Source organism: Homo sapiens, chromosome 2 (genome assembly GCF_000001405.40).
Source record: "Homo sapiens chromosome 2, GRCh38.p14 Primary Assembly".
NCBI lineage: Eukaryota > Metazoa > Chordata > Mammalia > Primates > Hominidae > Homo > Homo sapiens.
Genome location: NC_000002.12, coordinates 61,569,995 through 61,593,913, shown reverse-complemented (window position 1 = coordinate 61,593,913; position 23,919 = coordinate 61,569,995). Strand labels below are relative to the sequence as shown.

The following is a 23,919-nucleotide window of genomic DNA, read 5'->3' as shown; positions in this document are numbered from 1 at the left end:
TTATCTAATGACCAGTGATGATGAGCTTTTTTTCACGTTTGTTGGCTGCATAAATGTCTTCTGTTGAGAAGTGTCTGTTCATATCCTTCGCCCACTTTTTGATAAGGTTGTTTGTTTTTTTCCTTGTAAATTTGTTAAAGTTCCTTGTAGAGTCTGGATATTGGACTTTTGTCAGATAGGTAGATTGCAAAACTTTTCTTCCATTCTTAGGTTGCCTGTTCACTCTGATGATAGTTTCTTCGTTGTGCAGAAGCTCTTTAGTTTAATTAGATCCCCTTTGTCAATTTTGGCTTTTCTTGCAATTGCTTTTGATGTTTTAGTCATGAAGCCTTTGCCCATGCCTATGTCCTGAATGGGATTGCCTAGGTTTTCTTCTAGGGTTTTTATGGTTTTGGGTTTTACATTTAAGTCTTTAATCCATCTTGAGTTAATTTTTGTATAAGGTGTAAGGAAGAGGTCCAGTTTCTGTTTTCTGCAAGTGGCTAGCCAGTTTTCCCAGCATCATTTCTTAAATACGGACTCCTTTCCCCCATTGCTTATTTTTGTTAGGTTTGCCAAAGATCAGATGGTTGCAGATGTGTGGTGTTATTTCTGAGGTCTCTGTTTTGCTCCATTGTTCTATATATCTGTTTTGGTATCAGTACCATTCTGTTTTGGTTACTGTAGCCTTGTAGTATAGTTTGAAGTCAGATACGTGATGCCTCCAGCTTTGTGCTTTTTGCTTAGAATTGTCTTGGCTATACAGGTTCTTTTTTGGTCCCATATGAAATTTAAAGTAGTTTTTTCTAACTCTACAAAGAAAGTCAAAGGTAGCTTGATGGGAATAGCATTGAATCTTTAAATTACTTTGGGCAGTATAGCCATTTTTTTGTATCTTTAGTAGAGAAGGGGTTTCACCATCTTGGCCAGGCTGGTCTCAAACTCATGACCTCATAATCCACCCGCCTCGACCTCCCAAAGTGCTGGGATTACAGACATGAGCCACCACGCCCAGCCTGAAAATTCTTTTCTTTAAGAATGTTGAATATTGGCCCCCACTCTCTTCTGGCGTGTAGGGTTTCTGCAGACAGATCTGCTGTTAGTCTGATGGGCTTCCCTTTGTAGGTAACCTGACCTTCCTCTCTGGCTGCCCTTAACATTTTTTCCTTCATTTCAACCTTGGAGAATCTGACTATTATGTGTCTTGGGGTTGCTCTTCTTCAGGAGTATCTTAGTGGTGTTTCTGTATTTCCTGAATTCGAATGTTGGCCTGTCTTGTTAGGTTGGGGAAGTTCTCCTGGATAATATCCTGAAGTGTGTTTTTCAGCTTGGCTCCATTCTCCCCGTCAGTTTCAGGTACCCTAGTCAATCGTAGGTTTGGTTTTTTCACATAGTCCCATATTGCTTGGAGGCTTTGTTCGTTCTTTTTCATTCTTTTTTCTCTAATCTTGTCTTCACACCTTATTTCAGTGAGGTGATCTTCAATCTCTGATATCCTTTCTTCCGCTTGATCGATTTGGCTATTGATATTTGTGTATGCTTTATGAAGTTCTCATGCTGTGTTTTTCAGCTCCATCAGGTCATTTATGTTCTTCTCTAAACTGGTTATTCTAGTTAGCAGTTCCTATAACCTTTCATCAAGGTTCTTAGCTTCCTTGCATTGGGTTAGAACATGCTCCTTTAGCTCAGAGGAGTTTGTTATTACCCACCTTCTGAAGCCTACTTCTGTCAATTTGTCAATCTCATTCTCGGTCCAGTTTTGTGCCCTTGCTAGAGAGGAAAGGAGTTGCAATCATTTGGAGAAGAGGCATTCTGGTTTTTGGAATTTTCAGTGTTTTGGGGCTGGTTTTTCCTCATCTTCGTGGATTTATCTACCTTTGATTTTTGAGGCTGATGACCTTTGGATGGGGATTTTTTGTGAGGGTCTTTTTTGTTGATGTTGGTGTTGTGCTTTCTGTCTGTTAGTTTTTCTTCTAATAGTCAGGCCCCTGTTCTGCAGGTCTGCTACAGTTTGCTGGAGGTCTATTCCAGACCCTATTCACGTGGGTATCACCAGTGGAGGCTGCAGAACAGCAAAGATTGCTGACTGCTCCTTCCTCTGGAAGTAGTTTCTTCCTAGAGGGGCACTGGCCTGAGGCCAGACGGAGCTCTTCTTTATGAAATGTCTGTCGACCCCTGTTGGGAGGTGTCTCCCAGTCAGGAGGCACCAGGGCCAGGGACCCACTTGAGGAAGCAGTCTGTCCCTTAGCAGAGCTGGAGCACTGTCCTTTTCTTTTTGTTTTTTTTTTTTGTGACACAGTCTGACTCTGTCACCCAGGCTAGAGTGCAGTAGAACAATCTTGGCTCACTGCAACCTCTGCCTCCTGGGTTCAAGCAATTCTCCTACCTCAGCCTCCTGAGTAGCTGGGATTACAGGCATGTGCCACCATACCTGGCTAATTTTTGTATTTTTAGTAGAGATGGGTTTTTGCCATGTTGGCTAGGCTGGTCTCAAACTCCTGACTGCAGGTGATCCACCTGCCTCAGCCTCCCAAAGTGCTGGGATTACAGGTGTGCACCACTGCACCCAGCCAATTATATGATCACTCTACATGGGGTTTGCAGCCCACTTTTTTTTTTTTTCACACACGGTTACACTCTGTTTCCTGGGCTGGCGTGCAATGGTGTGATATCTGTTGCCCCCCTTCCTTTTTTTTTTTTTTTTTTTTGAGATGGAGTCTCGCTGTGTCGCCCAGGCTGGAGTGCAGTCGTGCGATCTCCGCTCACTGCAAGCTCCGCCTCCCAGGTTCACGCCATTCTCCTGCCTCCTGAGTAGCTGGGACTACAGGCGCCTGCCACCACACCCAGCTAATTTTTTGTATTTTTAGTAGAGACGGGGTTTCACCATGTTAGCCAGTATGGTCTCGATCTCCTGACCTCGTGATCTGCCCACCTCAGCCTCCCAAAGTGCTGGGATTACATGCGTGAGCCACCGCGCCCAGCACACTTTTTATTGAATACAAATTATAGGAAGTTTTAGAAGCTGTGTCCATAGTTGACTAGTTAATAAATATTTCTTGATTGAGCCACTATGGGTCTCAGGTTATAGTGAAATATATAATAATGTACAAGTGATCTCTAGCCTATTGTTAATCTTGAAAATTAACTGGAATGTGTTATTTATCCACCTCACAGAAGTGCTCAGAAATAAATAATAAATTATCAATTATATTTGAAGGTGCTACTTTGTTTTGGAAAACAAGTTGGCTACAACAATTTATTTTTTGTTTTTTTAGAGACAAGGTCTCACATTCACAGGCTGGTGTGTGGGGCATGTGGAATGAGTATAACTCACTACAGTCTGGAACTCCTGAGCTCAAACCATTCTCCTGCCTCAGCCTCTGGAGTAGCTGGTACTAGAGCATACATCATCATGCTCAGCTAATTTTTCTTCTTCCTCTTCTTCCTCTTCTTCTTCTTCCTTCTTCTTCCTTCTTCTTTCCTCTTTCTCTTCCTTTTCTTCTTCCTCTTTTATTATCCCCATTGTTAAGCACACTCAGCTAATTTAAAATATTTTTTTGTAAAGAGAGGGTCTGGCTACTATGCTCAGACTACTCTTGAATTCCTGGCCTCAAGCAACCCTCCTGCCTTTGACTCCCAAGGTGCTGGAATTACAGGCGTGAGCCACTTCACGGGGCCAAGAAATTTATTTCACACACATATGTACACAGATATTCAAATGTGATTACTAGAAACTATCCATTGTAACATTTAATAGCAAAAACTGGAAAAAAACAACATAAATGTTCATTAAGAGGGGACTAGTTAAATAAGGCACCCAATGAAATGCTATGCACCCATTAAAAAGATGGGGCATCAAGAGAACAAGAAGATGAGCCGGGCGGAGTGGCTCACGCCTGTAATCCCAACACTTTGGGAGGCCGAGGCAGGCAGATCACGAGGTCAGGAGATCGAGACCACAGTGAAACCCCGTCTCTACTAAAAATACAAAAAATTAGCCGGGCGCGGTGGCGGGCCGCCTGCAGTCCCAGCTACTGCGGAGGCTGAGGCAGGAGAATGGCGTGAACCCGGGAGGCGGAGCTTGCAGTCAGCCGAGATCGTGCCACTGCACTCCAGCCTGGGCGACAGAGCGAGACTCCGTCTCAGAAAAAAAAAAAAAAAAAAAGAAAAAAAAATGGAGAGAACAAGATAAGCCACAGACTGGGAGAGAATATTTGCAAAAGACATGTTTCATGGCTTTCCTTTTACGTCGTTGCATTCCTGAGAGCAAGATGGGTCACCCGCAGCTGTACTGGAGCCACCTGCAAAAATTCGGCCAGGGTTCTCGCTCTCATGGCATCTGCTCAGACCTGCACAGTCTGATCCAGAAATATGGCCACAATATGTGCCTCCAGTGTTTCCATCGGTATGCGAAGGATATAGGTTTCATTAAGTTGGACTAAGTGATCTTCCTTGAATGGATTATCCAAGGCATCCACCCAATAAAAAACCATGATTGCTCTTTGTACATAAAATAAACATTTAAAAACTACAACTACAAAACAAAACAAAACAAAAAAACGCGTTTCATAAAGGACCGTTATCCAAGCTATACAAAGAACCCTGAAAACTCAACAATGAGAAAATGAACAACTGGATTTTAAAAGCGGGCAAAAAAACCTGAACAAACGTCTCACCTAGGAAGAAATACGATGACAAGTAAGCATATTAAAAGATGTCCAGGCCAGGTGTGGTGGCTCACGCCTGTAATCCCAGCACTCTGGGAGGCGGGCGGATCACGAGGTCAGAAGTTCGTGACCAGCCTGACCAACATGGTGAAACCCAGTCTCTACTAAAAACACAAAAATTAGCTGGGTGTGGTGGCAGGCGCCTGTAATCCCAGCTACTCAGGAGGCTGAGGCAGAAGTTGCAGTTAGCAGAGATCACGCCACTGCCCTCCAGCCTGGGTGACAGAGTGAGACTCCGTCTCAAAAAAATAAAATAAAATAAAATAAAATAAAATAAATTAAAGATGTCCAACATCCTAAGTCATTAGGGTATTGCAAATGAAAACAAGATACCTCCACACACCTATTAGCAGGGCCAAAATCCAGAACACCGACAGCACCAAATGCTAGCAGGGAAGTGAAACAATAAGAGCTCTCATTCACTGCTGGTGGGATGCAAAATGGCACAGCCTCTTCGGAAGACAGTTGGCAGTTTCTCACAAAATGAGCATACTCTGTCCTGAGTTCCCAGGAGTAAAAATGAAAAAATAAATAAATAAATAACTCTAACCATATGATCCACCAATCACACTCCTTTATATTTACCCAAATTAATTGAGAACTTATGTCTATATGAAAACTTGTTTATATTTATAGCAGCTCTATTCATAATTGCCAAAACTCGGAAGTAATCAAGATGCCCTGAAGTAGATGAATGGATAAACTGTGGTACATCAGACAATGTAATATTATTCAGCACTGAAAGGAAATGAGCTATTGAGCCATGAAAAGCCAGGGAGGACCTTTAAACACAGACTACCAAGTGAAAGAAGCCAACGTGAAAAGTCTACATACTGTATAATTCCAGCTATATGACATTCTACAGAATGCGAAACTATGGAGACAGTGAAAAGATTAGTGGTTGCCAAGGGCTAAGCGGAAGTAGGGTTGAATAGGCAGAGCACAGGGGATCATTAGGGCAGTCAACTACTCTGAATGATACTACAATGATGGACAAATGTGGGTTTTTTGTTTTTGGCTTTGGTTTTTTTTGAGACAGAGTCTCGCTCTGTTGCCCAGGCTGGAGGACAGTGGTGCAATCTCAGCTCACTGCAACCTCAAGCTTCCAGGTTCAAGCAATTCTCCTGTCTCAGCCTCCCAAGTAGCTGGGACTTAGAGGCGCACATCACCACACCCAGCTAATTTTTGTATTTTTAGTAGAGATGAGGTTTCACCATATTGGTCAGACTAGTCTCGAACTCCTGACCTCAGGTGATCCACCCACCTTGACTTCCCAGAGTCCTGGGATTACAGGCGTGAGCCACTGCACCCGGCCAAATGTGTTTATTATACGTATAGAAGGCACAACACCAAGAGTGAACCCTAATGTAAAGTACAGACTTTGGATGACAATGATGTGTCAATGTAGGTTCATCAATTGTAACAAATATACCACTATGCTGGGGGATATTAATACTGGAGAAGGTTGTGCATGTTTGGGGATAGAGGTTATAATATTAATAGGAACTCTGTACTTTTTGCTGTGAACCTAAAATTGCTCTAAAAAATAAAAGTTTATGGCCAGGTGTGGTGGCTCGCGCCTGTAATCCCAACACTTTGGGAGGCTGAGGAGGGTGGATCCCTTGATGACAGGAGTTTGAGACGAGCCTGGCCAACATGGCAAAACCCTTTCTCTACTAAAAACACAAAAATTAGCCAGGCATGGTGGCACATTCCTGCAACCCCAGTTACTTGGGAGGCTGAGGCAGGAGAATCACTTGAACCCGGGAGACGAAGTTTGCAGTGATCCGAGATCGTGCCATTGCACTCCAGCCTGGGCAATAGCGACTCTGTCTCAAAAAAAAAAAAAAAAAAAGAAGGCCAGCCTGGCCAACATGGTGAAACTCCATCTCCACTAAAAAATACAAAAATTAGCTGGGCGTGGTGGCACATCCCTGTAATCCCAGCTACTCAGGAAGCTGAGGCAGGAGAATCGCTTGAATCCAGGAGGTGGAGGTTGCAGTGAACCAAGATTGTGCCACTGCACTCCAGCCTGGGCAACAGAGCAAGACTCCGTATCAAAAATAAATAAATAAATAAATAAATAAATAAATAAATAAAAGTGTATTCTATTATTATTTTTTGAGACAGGGTCTTGCTCTGTCACCCAAGCTGGAGTGCAGTGGCACAATCAGGGCTCACTGCAGCCTCGACCCCCTGGGTTCAAGTGATCCTCCTGCCTCAGCCTTCCAAGTAGCTGGGACTACAGGTGTGCCACCATGCCCGGTTAGTTTTTAATTTTTTTTTTGTAGAAACGGGGTCTTCTATGTTAACCAGCCTGGAAAATTAGAATTAAAATTAAAGTCAAAAATTTTATTTTTAAAAAGAGAGCACATTGCTAAGAGCCATCCCACCCAAGACATAGTAAATGTTGGGTAGATAAAGGAAACTCAAAACCATGCTTTGTGATTCTACTTTATAGAAAGAGAGAGAGAGAAAAAGAATTGGGTATGTGTAAATATGCTTAGAACATTAATGGAAGGGCATAAAAACACCTCCCAACAGAGGCTTCTTCTGGAGAGTGGCTTAGAGAATGAGGAGTGGGCAACTTTTACTTCCTTTGCTGTATAGATTAAAACTTTAATATGAGCATGTAGTTCTTCCATTTTTTTCATGATTCCTTGCTTTAATTAAGTAATACATTGATATATTTTCTTTTTTTTATTGTTGTTTTTTTGTTTTTTTGTTTTTTTGAGACGGAGTCTCCCTCTGTCGCCCAGGCTGGAGTGCAGTGGCGCCATCTCGGCTGACTGCAAGCTCCGCCTCCCGGGTTCACGCCATTCTCCTGCCTCAGCCTCTCGAGTAGCTGGGACTACAGGCGCCCGCCATTGCGCCCGGCTTATTTGTTTGTATTTTTAGTACAGACGGGGTTTCACCGTGTTAGCCAGGATGCTCTCGATTTCTTGACCTCGTGATCCCCCCGCCTTGGCCTCCCAAAGTGCTGGGATTACAGGCGTGAGCCACCGCGCTCGGCCCATTGATATATTTTATTTGCTAAATATTCTTTTTTCCTTTTTTTGAGACAAGAGTCTCGCTCTGTTGCCCAGGCTGGAGTGCAGTGGCGCGATCACAGCTCACTGCAGACTTGATCTCCTGGGATCAGGAGGTCCTCATGCCTCAGCCTCCCAAGTAGCTTGGACCACTGCAGGTCTGTGCCACCATGCCTGGCTAAATTTGTAGGTTTGTTTGTTGTACAGATGAGGTCTCGCCATGTTGCCCAAGGCAACTCCTGGGCTCAAGCGACCCTCCTGCCGCCGCCTCCCAAAGTGCTGGGATTACAGGCGTGAGCCACCATGCCTGCCTCTGCAAAACATTCTAACAATTCAGATAAGATTAAATTGCCCTTGACCTCCCTCCACCCCGTCCCACTCCCCTCCCAGGAGATGACCACTTCTGGCCGTTTATTTGTATCTTTCTTTCATCATTGTTAAAAAGTGTATGTGAATCCCTTTGAGCTTCTTGAATCTGCGTTTATTATTAGTTGTAAAAGTCCCCAGTGACCACAGAAATGCTTCTTATGGGGAAAGGGAAGTTTTAAAATAGGGGAGCAACAATATTTGTCATAAACTTGCCCAGTGGCAGGGAAAACCCCAGGTCTTTTTTAGATCTCAAAGAGCAGGAGAAGGATAGCTTAATGTGACTGTTCAGAGGCTGGGAGTGGACAAAGAAAGGAAGCCCAGAACAATAGGGTCCTTCCATGACTGCCCTTCTGGAGGTGGGGCTGCGGCAGTAAGTGTGGAATTAGTTTAAGTCAGTATAATTTAGGGATTAGGAAGTCACCAGGGTTAAACTTTTAAATCTTTACTTTGAACTCTTTTATTTTATTTTTACTTTTTTTTTTTTTGAGATGGGGTCTCGTTCTGTCACCCAGGCTGGAGTGCACTGGTGAGATCACAGCTCACTGCAGCCTTGACTTCTTGGGCTCAGGCAGTCCTCCTGCCTCAGCCTCCCAAGTAGCTACAGAGGTGTGCCACCATGCCCTGTTGCACAAGACTGGTCTCCAGCTCCTGGGCTCAAGGGATCCTTCCGCCTTGGCCTCCCAAAGTGCTAAGATTACAGGCATGAGCCACCACGCCCAGCATTTTACTCCTCTTACTACCATCCCCAATTTTTTGTATTATGTATTTATTTATTGTTTTTACTGTTTTTTTGTTTTTTTTTTTTTTTTGAGATGGAGTTTCACTCTTGTTGCCCAGGCTGGAGTGCAATGGTGCGATCTCGGCTCACTGCAATCCTGCCTCCTGGGTTCAAGAAATTCTCCTGCCTCAGCCTCCCAAGTAGCTGGAATTACAGGCATGCGCCACCATGCCCAGCTAATTTGTTGTATGTATATATATATATATATATATATTTTTTTTTTTTTTTTTTTTTTTAGTAGAGACGGGGTTTCATCTTATTGGTCAGGCTGGTCTCGAACTCCTGACCTCAGGTAATCCACCCACTTCGGCCACCTAAAGTGCTGGGATTACAGGTGTGAGCCACCGTGCCCGGCCTATTTTTACTTTTAATTATAGGATAGGATACGGTAAGAAGAGCAGAGAAGTCTGAGTGTCAGATGCTTCTTTATTTTATTTTATTTTATTTTATTTTATTTTATTTTATTTTATTTTATTTTATTTTATTTTATTTTTAGACAGAGTCTCACTGTGTCACCAGGCTGGAGTGCAGTGGCACAATCTTGGCTCACTACAACCTCTGCCTTCCGGGTTCGAGCGATTCTCCTGCCTCAGCTTCCTGAGTAGCTGGGACTACAGGCCCACGCCACCATGCCCAGCTAATTTTTTGTATTTTCAGTGAAGACGTGGTTTCACCATGTTGGCCAGAATGGCCTTGATATCTTGACCTCATGATAAGCCCGCCTCAGCCTCCCAAAGTGCTGGGATTACAGGCATGAGCCCCTGCATCTGGCCTATTTATTTATTTATTGAGATAGAGTCTTACTCTGTCACCCAGGCTGGAGTGGAATGGCGTGATCTTGGCTCACTGCAGCCTCCTCCTCCCAGGTTCAAGCAATTCTCCTGCCTCAGCCTCCCAAGTAGCTGGAACTACAGGCATGCACCACCATCTCCGGCTAATTTTTTTTTTTTAATTTTGCATTTTTAGTAGAGACAGGATTTCGCCATGTTGGCCAGGCTGGTCTTGAACTCCTGGCCTCAAGTGATCCAGCCCCTACTCTTGGCCTCCCAACGTGCTGGGCTTACTGGCATGAGCTACCACGCCTGGCCTATGAGATGCTGCTTTTTTTTTTTTTTTTTTTTGAGACTGAGTCTTGCTCTGTCGCGCAGGCTGGAGTGCAATGGCAAGATCTCGGCTCACTGCAACCTCTGCCTCCTGGGTTCAAGCAATTCTCCTGCCTCAGCCTCCTGAGTACCTGGAATTACAGGTGCGTGCCACCACGCCCAGCTAATTTTTGTATTTTTAGTAGAAACGGGGTTTTACCATGTTGGTCAGGCTGGTCTTGAACTCCTGACCTCGTGATCCGCCCCCTTCGGCCTCCCAAAGTGCTGGGAATACAGGCGTGAGCCACCGTGCCCGGCCTCAGATGTTTCTTTAGATCCAAACTTTCTAACTGCACTGGAGCTAGAAAGGAGCCCTGAAGATGGTGGCATTTAAGTTATTTTGCTACTTAACAATTGCTATTGGGTGAATGTTATAGAATCTTTTTTTGTCTGTTCGTTTGTAGAGACAGGGTCTCACTATGTTCTGGATACTCCAGCCTGGATACTCCAGGCTGATCTGGAACTCCTGGCCTCAAGCTATCCTCCCACTTCGGGCTCCTCAAGTCCTGGGATTACGGGTGTAAACCACCACACCTGGCCTGTTATAGAATATTTTCACTAAGAAAGTTGCTTTATGCCAGGCACAGTGGCCCATGCCTGTAATCCCAGCACCTTGGGAGGCCAAGGTGGGCAGATTACTCAAGCCCAGGAGTTCAAGACCAGCCGGACAACATAGCAAAACCCTGCCTTTACAAAAAAATACAAAAATTAGCTGGGTGTGGTGTTGCACACCTGTAGTCCAAGCTACTGGGAAGGCTGAAGTGGGAGGATGGCTTGAGCTGAGGAGGTTGAGGCTGCAGCGGATTGTGATAGTGCCACTGCATTCCAGCCTGGGTGACAGCAAGACCCTGTCTCAAAAAAAAAAAAAAAAGTTGCTTTTTATGTCGTTTTTACATTACCAGGCTATTTTCACAAGATATTAATTCATTCCTTTAATTATATAAAAAAAAATACTGAGTTTACCCACCTCGGGCCAGATGTATCTAGAGAATTGGGAAATTCCTAATCTGGGCCTCTGATTAAATGGCAAAAGCCCAAGACTGGGACTGTCATCCTGCCACTGAATGCTGTGTGATCTCTCCCTTAATTGCATGATGCTTCATTTGCCTCATCTGTAAAATGGAAGTGTTGGTACAAACGATTTCTAAGGTTCTGAGGTTCAAAAATCTATTAGTCAAACCCATCTAGTTAATGTAAGACTGTCAGACTGAATCATACACTCAAAATGAAGTGAAGAGTTGGATCAATTGTATAGATCATTCTAGAAAAAAAATAAAAAATTAGTTAGACCTCAATTAGATATATTTCAGGCCACATTGTTTAGTCTATTTTATTTTTCTGGGGCTGTAAGACCAGAAACTACCTGACAGATCCAAGTAACTTGCGTGTTCTCAGCTCCATTTCACCTAGATGGGCCCCCCAGAGATTCAAGCACTTACACCTAACAATGTCAGGCTCCAAATACACTGAAAAAACAAAGACATTCCTTCAGCCCCAGTCCCAACCAGATCCTACATGTAGTGTCTACCACCGTTTAGCTAACCAGCCCTTTTCAAATTGAAAAGTACCAGTGAGTCACCTGGAGACCTTTTTAAAATGTACATTCTGATTCAGTAGATCTAGGGTGAGGCTCAAGATTCTACATTTCTAACAAGTTCCGGGTGGATGGTGATGCTGCTGGTCTCTGTTTCACACTTAAAGTGGCAAGGGGGCTAAACTACTAGCAGCTCACTGTCTTCTTTTTCAAATGCACGCTATTTTTGATTTAAAAAAACTCTTTAACTGATAAAGCTAATGCTGCTTTCAAATAACATTTGTGAAATAGAGTCAGAATTAAGGTCTTTCCTAAAATAAATGTGTTGAGTGTGGAGGCATTACACTTTGCTAAAGGTTAGGAAACTTAGAAGTGTTTCTTTTTCTTTAAATCTGTAGACAGATACCTTATACAGTAGCAAAGACTCATTAACATGTATAAATATCTTGCTCTAAAAAAGGACTCAAGGCAGTAGATTGTAAGGATTCATAACATAACCTATGCAAAACCCTTTAGCCCCCATGCCTAGCAGTTACGAAAGGCTTAAACAAGAGATTTATAACCAAGTAAGGCAAAAGATATAAAGAGGCATTTCATAGAAGGGACTTGAATGGTCAATAAACATATGAAAAAATGCACACAACTTTATTAGTAATCAGAGAACTGAAAATTTAAACCAAAAGGAAACACCACTTTATAACCTTCAGATAGTCAAAAAGGAAAAAAAATCATATAACAACACATGCTGGTAAGGATATGTTATACACTGCTGGTGGGATTTAAGTTGGTGCAATTTATTTATATTTTATTTTAAGTTTTTTTTTTTTTTTTTTTTGAGACGGAGTCTCGCTCTGTCACCCAGGCTGGAGTGCAGTGGCGCGATCTTGGCTCACTGCAAGCTCCACCCCCCGGGTTCACGCCATTCTCCTGCCTCAGCCTCCCGAGTAGCTGAGACTACAGGCACCTGCCACCTCGCCCGGCTAATTTTTTGTATTTTTAGTAGAGACGGGGTTTCACCGTGTTAGCCAGGATGATCTCGATCCCCTGACCTCATGATCCGCCCGCCTCGGCCTCCCAAAGTGCTGGGATTACAGGTGTGAGCCACCGTGCCCGGCTATTTATTTATTTATTTATTTATTATTTTTTCTTTGAGACAGGGCCTCACTTTGTCATCCAGGCTAAAGTGCAGTGGTGCAATCACAGCTCGCTGCAACCTCTACCTCTAGGGCTCAATTGATCCTCCCACCTCAACTTCCTGAGTAGCTGAGACTACAGGCGCATGCCACAATGCCTGGCTAATTTTTTTTTTTTTTTTTTTTTTGAGATGGAGTTTTGCTCCTGTTGCCCAGGCTGGAGTGCAATGACACAATCTCACCTCACTACAACCCCTGCCTCCCGGGTTCAAGCGATGCTCCTGCCTCAGCCTCCTGAGTAGCTGGGATTATAGGCATATGCCACCACACCAGGCTAATTTTGTATTTTTAGTGGCGGGGGGGGGGCGGTGGGCGGGGTTTCTCCATGTTGGTCAGGCTGGTATCGAACTCCCGACCTCAGGTGATCCACCTGCCTCGGCCTCCCAAAGTGCTGGGATTACAGGCATGAGCCGCCACGCCCAGCTGCCTGGCTAATTTTGTATCTTTTTGTAGAGATGGGGTTTTGCTATGTTGCCCAGGCTGGTCTCGAATTTCTGGCCTCAAGTGATCCACCCTCCTTGGCCTCCCAGATTTAGCCAAGGGCTGGGATTTGCAAAGAGCTGGGATTACGGGCATGAGCCACTGCACCTAGCCCATAACTATATTTTGATAGTTACATAATAATCTATTATATCAAGCAGATAATTTACTTAGCTGTATTCATATTATTGACAATTAGATTGTTTCCTTTTTTATTATTCTGCTTTTCCAGTTTTCCTTCTCTTTTGGGTCATTTCCATATGAAAAACTTCTAACAGAATAATTATAAGGTCAAAGGGTTGGAACATGTATACAAGTCTTCAGACATGTACATAAAATAATTTCTGCAGCCAAAAATATATCTCCATTCAGATGTATTTCCATCACTTCAAATTCTGACTTCCTAAAATAGAAGTAGGCGCTGCACTCCAGCCTAGGCAACAGAGTGAGACCCTGTCTCAAAAATAGAATAAAATAGAACAGCTCCCTATTATCACCCTTTCTAAACTGTTTTCCTTCTCCCCTTAACTCTATTACAGGCGATAGAAATATCTGGAACCCAGGTTGGCCAAATTCCTGCTCCTAATTCCTAGAAATACCCTCCTAGAAGAAAGACTGTCCTAGAGGAGACAGGTCTCCCTCAAGGGCCTAAATGTTCTGTGAAGTGCTTTTGGAAACTCTACTAATATATTTAAGGATTTGTTCATCTGTGATGACTGTGCTAAAAACCATGTTAGCCAGGATGGTCTTGATCTCCTGACCTCGTGATCCATCCACCTCGGCCTCCCAAAGTGCTGGGATTACAGGCGTGAACCACCGCGCCTGGCCTCAAGATGCTTTTTATTTATTAACTTGTCCTCCCAACAACCCTATAAAGTGGCATTATTATCATTATGTGCTTGGCCCATAGTAGATGCTCAATGAATACTATTAAATGAGAGCATTCCTCTTTTAGAGTTGGGAAATGTGGCTTAGGACATTAAGTTACCCAGTGTTTCATAGCTAGTAAATGGTAAAGAAGTTACACAGAACAGTCTGTCTCCAGGGCCTACAAGCATTTTCCATGAAACCTCAAGGCTCTTTAAGATCATATCATACCCTAACCTACTTTTCTTTTATTTTTTCTTTTTTTCTGAGACAGGATCTCACTCTGTCACCCAGGCTGGAGTGCAGTGGTGCCATCATGGCTCACTGCAACCTTGACCTTGAACTCCTGGTCTCAAGCTATCCTCCTGCCTCAGCCTCCCAAGCAGCTGGGACTACAGGCGCACACCACCCCTCCTGGCTAATTTTTTTTTTTCTTTTTTTTTGAGATGGAGTCTTACTCTGTCACCCAGGCTGGAGTGCAGTGGTGTGATCTCGACTCACTGCAACCTCCACCTCCCAGGTTTGAGTGATTCTCCTGCCTCAGCCTCCCGAGTAGCTGGGATTACAGGCATGTGCCACCACACCCAGCTAATTTTTGTATTTTTGTAGAGACGGGGTTTCACCATGTTGTCCAGGGTAGTCTTGAACTCTTGACCTCAGATGATCCGCCCACCTTAGCTTCCCAAAGTACTGGGATTACAGGCGTGAGCCACCTTACCTGGCCCTAACCTACTTCTCTGGCCTCATGTCTGGATACTTTTGTCCATTTTCTATCCTAGTGACTGTTCTCTGAATTTACCAATCTAGTTCATACTTGTTCATCTTTATTCTGGCTCTCAGGCCTGGAATGCCTTTCTCTCCTTCCCTCTTGGTTAGGTAACTTCTTCTCAATCTTCAGTATCCAGGCTGGAGTGCAGTGGCTTGATCTCGGCTCACTACAGCCTCTGCCTCCCGGGTTCAAGCAACTCTTCTGCCTCAGCCTCCCGAGTAGCTAGAACTACAGGCGCATGCCAACACACCCAGCTAATTTTTGTATTTTTGTAGAGACGGGGTTTCGCTATTTGGTCAGGCTGGTCTCGAGTTCCTGACCACAAGTGATCCGCCCCCACCTCGGCCTCCCAAAGTGCTGGGATTACAGACGCTAGCCACCACTCCTGGCCTGTTTTTTATTTTTATTTTTATTATTTTTTTAAGAAGGAGTCTCGCTCTGTCGCCCAGGCTGGAGCGCAGTGGTGCAATCTTGGCTCACTGCAACCTCTGCCTCCCGGGTTCAAGTGATTATCTTGCCTCAGTCTCCTGAGTAGCTGAGATTACAGGTGTGTGCCACCATGCCCGACTAATTTTTGTATTTTTAGTAGAGATGAGGTTTCACCATATTGGCCAGGCTGGTCTTGAACTCCTGACCTCAGGTGATCCCCTGACATGGGCTTCCCAAAGTGCTGGGATTACAGGCATGAGCTATGGTGCCCGGCCTGTTTTGATTATTATTATTATTATTATTACTATTTTTGAAACCCACTTTCGCTCTTGTTGCCCAGGCTGAAGTGCAATGGTGCAATCTTGGCTCACTGCAACATCCACATCCCAGGTTCAAGTGATTCTCTTGCCTCAGCCTCCTGAGTAGCTGGGATTACAGGTGTGCACCACCACACCTGGCTAATTTTTGTATTTTTAGTGGAGACAGGGTTACACCATATTGGCCAGGCTGGTCTTGAACGCCTGACCTCAAGTGATCCACCTGCCTCGGCCTCCCATAGTGCTGGGATTACAGGCGTGAGCCACCAGGCCCGGCCATCAACCTTTTTATGAGGCCTATGAGAAGCGTCCTCTACCCTGAGGCGGAACTACTCATTCTCTCTTCTTTGCTCCCATAGCACTTTATTTATGCGTCTAATTATAGACATTCTAACACTATATCATGATTTATTTAGGTGTCTGCTTCTCACTAGGTTGTGTTCTCCTTTGGGGCAAGAGCTAAGTTTCATTCATGTTTGTATCCCCAGCCTGGCATGTAATCAGGATTCAATAAGTATTTGTTAAGTGAATGAATAAATGGATGTCTTTGATTTGACTTTGCAAAAGATAGAGGAAACAGGGCCGGGGGCGGTGGCTCACGCCTATAATCCCAGCACTTTGGGAGGCCGAGGCGGATGATCACCAGGTCAGGAGATCGAGACCATCCTGGCTAACATGGTGAAACCCTGTCTCTACTAAAAATAAAAAATAAAAAAAATTAGCCGGGCGTGGTGGCGGGCGCCTGTAGTCCCAGCTACTCGGGAGGCTGAGGCAGGAGAAAGTGAGCTGAGATCGCGCCACTGCAGTCCAGCCTGGGCGACAGAGCGAGACTCCGTCTCAAAAAAAAAAAAAAAAAAAGAGGAAACATTTATTTCAAAGACCTTTTTTTTTTTGAGACGGAGTTTTGCTCTTGTTGCCCAGGCTGGAGTGCAATGGCGAGATCTTGGCTCACTGCAACCTCCACCTCCAGGGTTCAAGTGATTCTCCTGCCTCAGCCCCCTAGTCGCTGGGATTACCGGTGCCTGCCATCACACCCAGCTAATTTTTGTTACTTTTAGTAGAGACTTTTAGTAGAGACGGGGTTTTGCCATGTTGGCCGGGCTGGTCTTGAACTCCTGACCTCAGGTGATCCACCACCTCCCAAAGTGCTGGTGAGCCTCCCAAAGGCATGAGCCATGGGGCCTGGCTGAAAGGACATGTTTTATAATCACCTTTGTATGGAAGCTAAGGGCATAAGATTAAATCTTAACTTAGCAAAGGCCTTTGGCAGGAGACTAGTTCAATATCAACAAGGTATCTTGCTTTCCAACATTTCTTATTACAAGGGTGTCAAGGAATAGTTACAAAGACAAATCTTAAGTGCACTTAAATGGAGGAAACAGCAAGTGAATATGAATGGTTTGCTAATATGAGCAATCTAGGGAATGAAACCTAGGGAACTTAAAGGCCAGAAAGGCCTTAAATATTTTCATTCATCGGCCGGGCACAGTGGCTTACGCCTGTAATCCCAGCACTTTGGAAGGCCAAGGCAGGTGGATCACCTGAGGCAGAATTCAAGACCAGCCCGGCCAACATAGTGAAACCCTGTCTCTACTAAAAATACAAAAATTAGCCGGACATGGTGGCATGCGCCTGTAGTCCCAGCTACTCAGGAGGCCGAGGCAGGAGAATCACTTGAACTTCGGAGGCAGAGATTGCGATGAGCTGCAATCACGCCACTGCACTCCAGCCTGGGCAACAGAGCGAGACTCTGTCTCAAAAAAAAAAAAATCATGTATCTTTTAAATTTTGGACAAAGGAGTTGAGAATAGAGGGAAAAAATTACCAGGCACCCGTGCTAAGTCGATTTTTATGGATTCTAGTTTGAATGCCGTCTCAAAAAGATTAAGGACATCAAGGTCCTCATTGTAGATGATGTATCATCTCTTCTTTGTCTATAAGATGTCGATGACTGCACGTTCAGTTTCTGAGCCCTGTCATTTGGTAGGTTCTTTGGATCCTTGGGTCTCTGGAAATTGTTCATTCTTGCCGACTAGTCTTAATAATTACAAGCTTCGAGAGATGCATCTGACTCATCAACAAATCCAGAAAGTGAAGCCATCCTCTCCATTGTCGTCCTGGTATAATACTTGATAATGATTCCAATATTATTTTCAGTGACTTGATTAAGTCTTTCTACCTTTTCCTTCCACGCCTTTCTCTGTGTAACCAAAAACATCAGTTGAAAAATTCTCAAAACATCAGTTGAAAAATTCTCAAAACATCAGTTGAAAAATTCTCAAGAATCTTTTCTTACTTCCATTCCACAAATATGGCCCAAAGCATCAACTCCATGGTGATTAAAAAAAAAAAAAAAGCTTGCAAAGAACTATATGCCTAGAAACTTCTTCTAGCTTTTTATCACTGCTTATTCAGTAAACTTAATCTTCTTGCCAAAGAGGAGCCAGGATGACAAGAAAAACAGCTGGGTCATGAGTACAGGAGCATCACAGAAGTGCTTGGGTATAGACAGATAGGAGCCTTTGTGCAGACCCGATCGAACTGCTGAGTTATAAACTGACTATTTAAAGACTAGTGAGCCAGAGAGGTTCAAGATTCTGAGAGACAGAATGATTAATTGCACAGAGCCCAAGAGGACGGGGGTGGAGAGAGTGTGATCCACAGCATAGGTAGAAAAAATAGCCTTAATAGGTGAAAGGAAGGGTGTTATTTTGGAGGCAGGAAGTTGGGGGAGTTCCTTTCAAAGACTTCTGTTTTCTCTAAAGTTGGAGGTGAGGTCATTCTTGGAGGGAGGGGTGGGTGGGTCAGAGGTTTGTGGAGATTTGAAATGGCTGTGGTGGATAATGGGAAGCACTGGCTTAGCCTGGGCCTCTTTACAGGTGAAAAGGCAAAGGAATGAGCAAGGTGATGGGCCAAGAGGTATAGGATGAAGAAGGAAGAGATGAAGGCAGAAGGGACTCCAAAGGGAGAAAGGAGAAGGGCCCAAATACCCGAGTACAAAGAGCAATTGAGGAAAGGGCAGAGTGGGAGAAAGTTTGGGCAAAGGGTGGGGTGTCCAAATTCTGCTTGTCATTTTAAGTTCAACAAACAGTATCACCTTAAAACAAAATTAAATATAATGCAATTTTTTTTGAGACAGGGTCTCTCATTGTTGGCCAGGCTGGAGTACAGTGACATAATCACTGCTCACTGCAGCTTTGACCTCCCCAGGCTCAAGTGATCCTCCCACCTCAGCCTCCTAAGTAGCCGGGAATGCAGGCCTACCTATGCCACCATGCTCGGCTAATTTTTGTATTTTTCGTTTTCTGTGGGGTTGTTGTTGTTGTTGTTGTTTTTCTGAGATAGGGTCTTACTCTGTCACCCAGGCTAGAGTGCAGTGGCACAATCTCGGCTCACCGCAACCTCTGCCTCCCATGTTCAAGCGATTCTCCTGCCTCAGCCTTCTGAGTAGCTAGGACTACAGGCGTGTGCCACCATGCCCAGCTAATTTTTGTATTTTTAATAGAGACGGGGCTTCGCCATGTTGGCCAGGCTGGTCTCGAACTCCTGACCTCAAGTGATCTGCCTGCCTCAGCCTCCCAAAATGTTGGGATTACAGATGTGAGCCACCATGCCTGACCCAATTTTTGTATTTTTTTGTAGAGACAGGGTCTTACTACGTTGCCCAAGGCTGGTCTCAAACTCCTGGGCTCAAGTGATCCTCCTGCCTCAGCCTCCCAAAGTGTTGGGATCACAGGTGTGAACCACCATGCCCAGCCATAGTTTTGTTTGTCTTTAATTTTTCTTTCTTTTTTTTGAGATGGAGTCTCGTTTTGTCGCCCAGGCTGGAGTGCAGTGGCACAATTGGCTCACTGCAACCTCTGCCTCCCTGGTTCAAGGGATTCTTATGCCTCAGCCACCCTAGTAACTGGGATTACAGGCATGCGCCACCACACCCAGCTAATTTTTTGTATTTTTAGTAGATATGGGGTTTTGCCATGTTGGCCAGGCTGGTCTCGAACTCCTGGCCTCAAGAGATCCACCTGCTTCAGCCTCCCAAAGTGCTGGGATTACAGGCGTGAGCCACCGCACCTGGCCCCAGCTGCAGTTTTGTAATCTTGCATTTAAACATTGGTTTTATTTACAGATTGTAGTTTCAAGCCTTTTTATTTTTAATTTATATATATATATATACACACACACATACATATATATACACATACATACGTGTGTGTATATATATACATATATATATTATATATATATTTGTTGTTGTTGTTAAAAAGAAGCATGATAGTCAGCAGTGGCTCACACCTGTAATCCCAGCACTTTGGGAGGCCAAGGCGGGATTGCTTGAGCCCAGGAGTTTGAGACCAGCCTGGGAAAGATAGCAAGACCCCCATCTCTACAAAACATAAAGAAAATTAGGCCAAGCACGGCGGCTCATGCCTGTAATCCCAGCTACTCAGGAGACTGAAGCAGAGGATCACTTGAGCCTAAAACTTCCAGGTTGCAGTGAGCCGTGACTGTGCCACTGCACTCCAGTCTGGGTGTCAGAACAAGATGCTGTCTCAAAAAAAAAAAAAAAAAAAGAAGAAGAAGAAAGAAAGAAATGGGGTCTCAGTCTGTTGCCCAGGCTGGGCTTGAACTCTTAGCCTGAAGCAATCCTCACCCCTCACCCTCACAAAGTGCTAGGGTTACAGGCAAAAAATTTTTATATCAATTTATGGTTAGAGAAACCTAAGCAGCTGCCCAACTCAGAAGTCCAAGAAGAAAAAGAATGCTGGGTGTGGTGGTATACAGTCCCAGAACTAAAGTAAGTTTTCTGTCTTCTCTCTTTATATTATATTAAGAGTACAATACTACAATAGTTGGTGTCCCACCTACTTGGGAGTCTGAGGCAGGAAGACTGCTTTAGGCCAGGAGTTGGAGGGCAATGTAACAAGACTCCATCTCTTAAAAAAATTTTTTTTAAGATTTAATTGGGATGGGCGCTGTGGCTCACGTCTGTAATCCCTGCACTTTGGGAGGCCGAGATGGGCGGATCACTTGAGGTCAGGAGTTCGAGACCAGCCTTCAACATGGTGAAACCCCATCTCTACTAAAATACAAAAATTAGCTGGGCATGGTGGCGTGGTGGCGGGCACCTATAATCCCAGCTATTTGGGAGGCTGAGGGAAGAGAATTGAACCCGGGAGGCAGAGGTTGCAGTGAGCCAAGATTGCACCATTGCACTCCAGCTTGGGCTACAAGAGCGAAACTTCGTCTTAAAAAAAAAAAGAAAAGAAAAGAAAAAGATTTATTGGCAGGGCATGGTGGCTCACGCCTGTAATGCCAGCATTCTGGGAGGCCAAGACGGGTGGATCACAAGGTCAGGAGATTGAGACCATCCTGGCCAACATGATGAAATCCCATCTCTACTAAAAATACAAAAGTTAGCTGTGCATGGTGGCACGTGCCTATAATCCCAGCTAGTTAGGAGTCTGAGACAGGAGAATCACTTAAACCTGGGAGGCAGAGGTTGCAGTGAGGCGAGATCAAGCCACTGCACTCCAGCCTGGCGACAGAGCGAGACTCTGCCTCAAAAAAAAAAAAAAAAAAAAAAGACAAGTAAAGCAAGAGAAGGAGGCAAAGAATATGAACAGAAGAGGAAACATACCCACAAAAGAGGAAATCCAAGTGATCAGCAAATATATGAAAATAGTAGTCAGGAAAATAAAAATAAAAATAACAACCCATGCTGGAGGGAGAATTGTGGAAATGGTCATTCTAAATTTTTTTTTCGGAGTTTCGCTCTTGTCGCCCAGGCTGGAGTGCAGTGGCGCGATCTCAGCTCACTGCAACCTCCACCTCCTGGGTTCAAGTGATTCTCCTGCCTCAGCCTCCCAAGTAGCTGGAATTACAGGTGCTCACCACCACACCCAGCTATTTTTTGTATTTTTTAGTAGAGATGGGGTTTCACCACGTTGGCTAGGCTGGTCTTGAACTCCTGACCTCAGGTAATTTACCTGCCTTGGCCTACCAATGTGCTGGGATTACAGGTGTGAGCCACCTTGACCAGCCCGGGCACTGTAAAATTTATTGTGTGTGTGTGTGTGTGTGTGTGTGTGTATGCGTCTATGTGTGTATTACTAGAGCCTTCTAAAAATAATGTAACAATATCTATAAAATAGAAAAGTTAGTAAGATTAAAATAAAAATACACATATGCTTTGTCTTTTTTTTTTTCTGAGACGGAGTCTCGCTCTGTCACCCAGGCTGGAGTGCAGTGGTGCAATCTCGGCTCACTGCAAGCTCCGCCTCCCGGGTTCACGCCATTCTCCTGCTTCAGCCTCCCCGGTAGCTACAGGCGCCCGCCACCACGCCCAGCTAATTTTTTGTATTTTTAGTAGAGACAAAATGTTAGCCAGGATGGTCTCGATCTCCTGACCTCGTGATCCGCCCGCCTCGGCCTCCCAAAGTGCTGGGATTACAGGCGTGAGCCACCGCGCCCGGCCTGCTTTGTCTTTTGAAGTTGTTTTGAGACAGGGACTCCTTTGTTGCCCAGGCTGGAGTGCAGTGGTGAGATTATAGTTGACTGTAGCCTGGAACTGTTGGGCTCAGGCAATCTTCCTGCCTCACATTCCCAGGTAGTTAGCATTACAAATTAGCCACACCTGGCTAATTTTTAAATTTTTTTTTTTTTTGTACAGATGGAGTCTCACTAGTTTGCCCAGGCTAGTCGAAAACTCCTGGCCTCAAGTGATCCTCACACCTGCCCCTCCCAAAGCCACCATGCTGGGCATATCTTTTATTTATTTATTTATTTATTTATTTTTGAGACAGAGTCGCACTCTGTCGCCCAGGCTGGAGTGCAGTGGCGTGATCTCAGCTCACTGCAACCTCCGCCTCCCGGTTTCAAGCGATTCTCCTTCCTCAGCCTTCCGAGTAGCTGGGATTACAGGCACCCGCCACCATGCCTGGCTAATTTTTGTATTTTTAGTAGAGGTGGGGTTTTACCATCTTGGCCAGGCTTGTCGTGAACTCCAGACCTAGTGATCCGGCCTCCCAAAGTGCTGGGATTACAGGTGTGAGCCACCACGCCCGGCATATCTTTTAACTTTAAAAAATTTTCACCAGGTACGGTGGCTCACGCCTGTAATCCCAGCACTTTGGGAGGCCAAGGTGGGCGGATCACCCGAGGTCGGGAGTTCGAGACCAGCCTGACCAAAATGGCGAAACCCCCTCTCTACTAAAAATACAAAAAAATTAGCCGGGCATGGTGGCACATGCCTGTAATCCCAGCTACTCTGAAGGCTGAGGCAGGAGAATTGCTTGAACCCAGGAGGCAGAGGTTGCAGTGAGCCGAGACTGTGCCACACTCCAGCCTGGGCAAGAAGAGTGAAACTGTCTCAAAAAAAAAAAAAAAAAAGTTCAAATCTATAGAAAAGTTGCAAGAATAATACAATGAATAATCATATACCTTTCACAGATAGTCACCAGTCACTGATAGGCTACGGTGTGCTATGATCTTGCTGCTGTACTCCTGCCGAGACCAGCTCGGTGGGGTAGACCCTAACCCAGTGGCGCTGGAGGAATTGAAGACACACACACAGAAATATAGAGGTGTGAAGTGGGAAACCAGGGGTCTCACAGCCTTCAGAGCTGAGAGCCCCGAACAGAGATTTACCCACGTATTTATTAACAGCAAGCCAGTCATTAGCATTGTTGCTATAGATATTCGATTAACTAAAAGTATCCCTTATGGGAAACGAAGGGATGGGCTGAATTAAAGCAATAGGTTGGGTTAGTTAACTGCTGGAGGAGCATGTCCTTAAGGCGCAGATCTCTCATGCTATTGTTTGTGGCTTAAGAATGCCTTTAGGCCTGGGCACGGTGGCTCATGCCTGTAATCCCAGCACTTTGGGAGGCTGAGGTGGGCGGATCACAAGGTCAAGAGATAGAGACCATCCTGGCCAACATGGTGAAACCCCATCTCTATTAAAAGTATAAAAATTAGCTGGGCGTGGTGGTGGGCGCCCGTAGTCCCAGCTACTCAGGAGGCTGAGGCAGGAGAATCGCTTGAACCCGGGAGGTGGAGGTTGCAGTGAGCCGAGATCACGCCATTGCACTCCAGCCTGGGCGACAGAGTGAGATGCCATCTCAAGAAAATAAATAAATAAATAAATAAAAATAAAATAAAGAATGCCTTTAAGCGGTTTTCTGCCCTGCGCGGGCCAGGTGTTCCTTGCCCTCATTCCAGTAAACCCACAACCTTCCAGCGTGGGTGTTATGGCCATCATGAACATGTCACAGTGCTGCAGAGATTTTGTTTATGGCCAGTTTTGG

The 23,919-nt window shown here is 44.8% G+C and overlaps 2 pseudogenes, besides 1 other annotated feature; one reads left to right on the top strand and one right to left on the bottom strand.

Moving 5' to 3' along the window:
• On the top strand, positions 4,251-4,421 carry RPS29P10 (ribosomal protein S29 pseudogene 10; annotated as a pseudogene).
• Positions 11,205-11,796: an enhancer, noted in NCBI's record as "OCT4-NANOG-H3K27ac hESC enhancer chr2:61809253-61809844 (GRCh37/hg19 assembly coordinates)". NCBI's record gives its function as "activates a minimal SCP1, AML or CMV promoter by ChIP-STARR-seq in naive H9 embryonic stem cells {active_cell/tissue: H9 hESC(naive)}" and the evidence as "EXISTENCE:reporter gene assay evidence [ECO:0000049][PMID:30033119]".
• Positions 17,519-18,146, bottom strand: LOC100422418 (proteasome 26S subunit, non-ATPase 12 pseudogene; annotated as a pseudogene).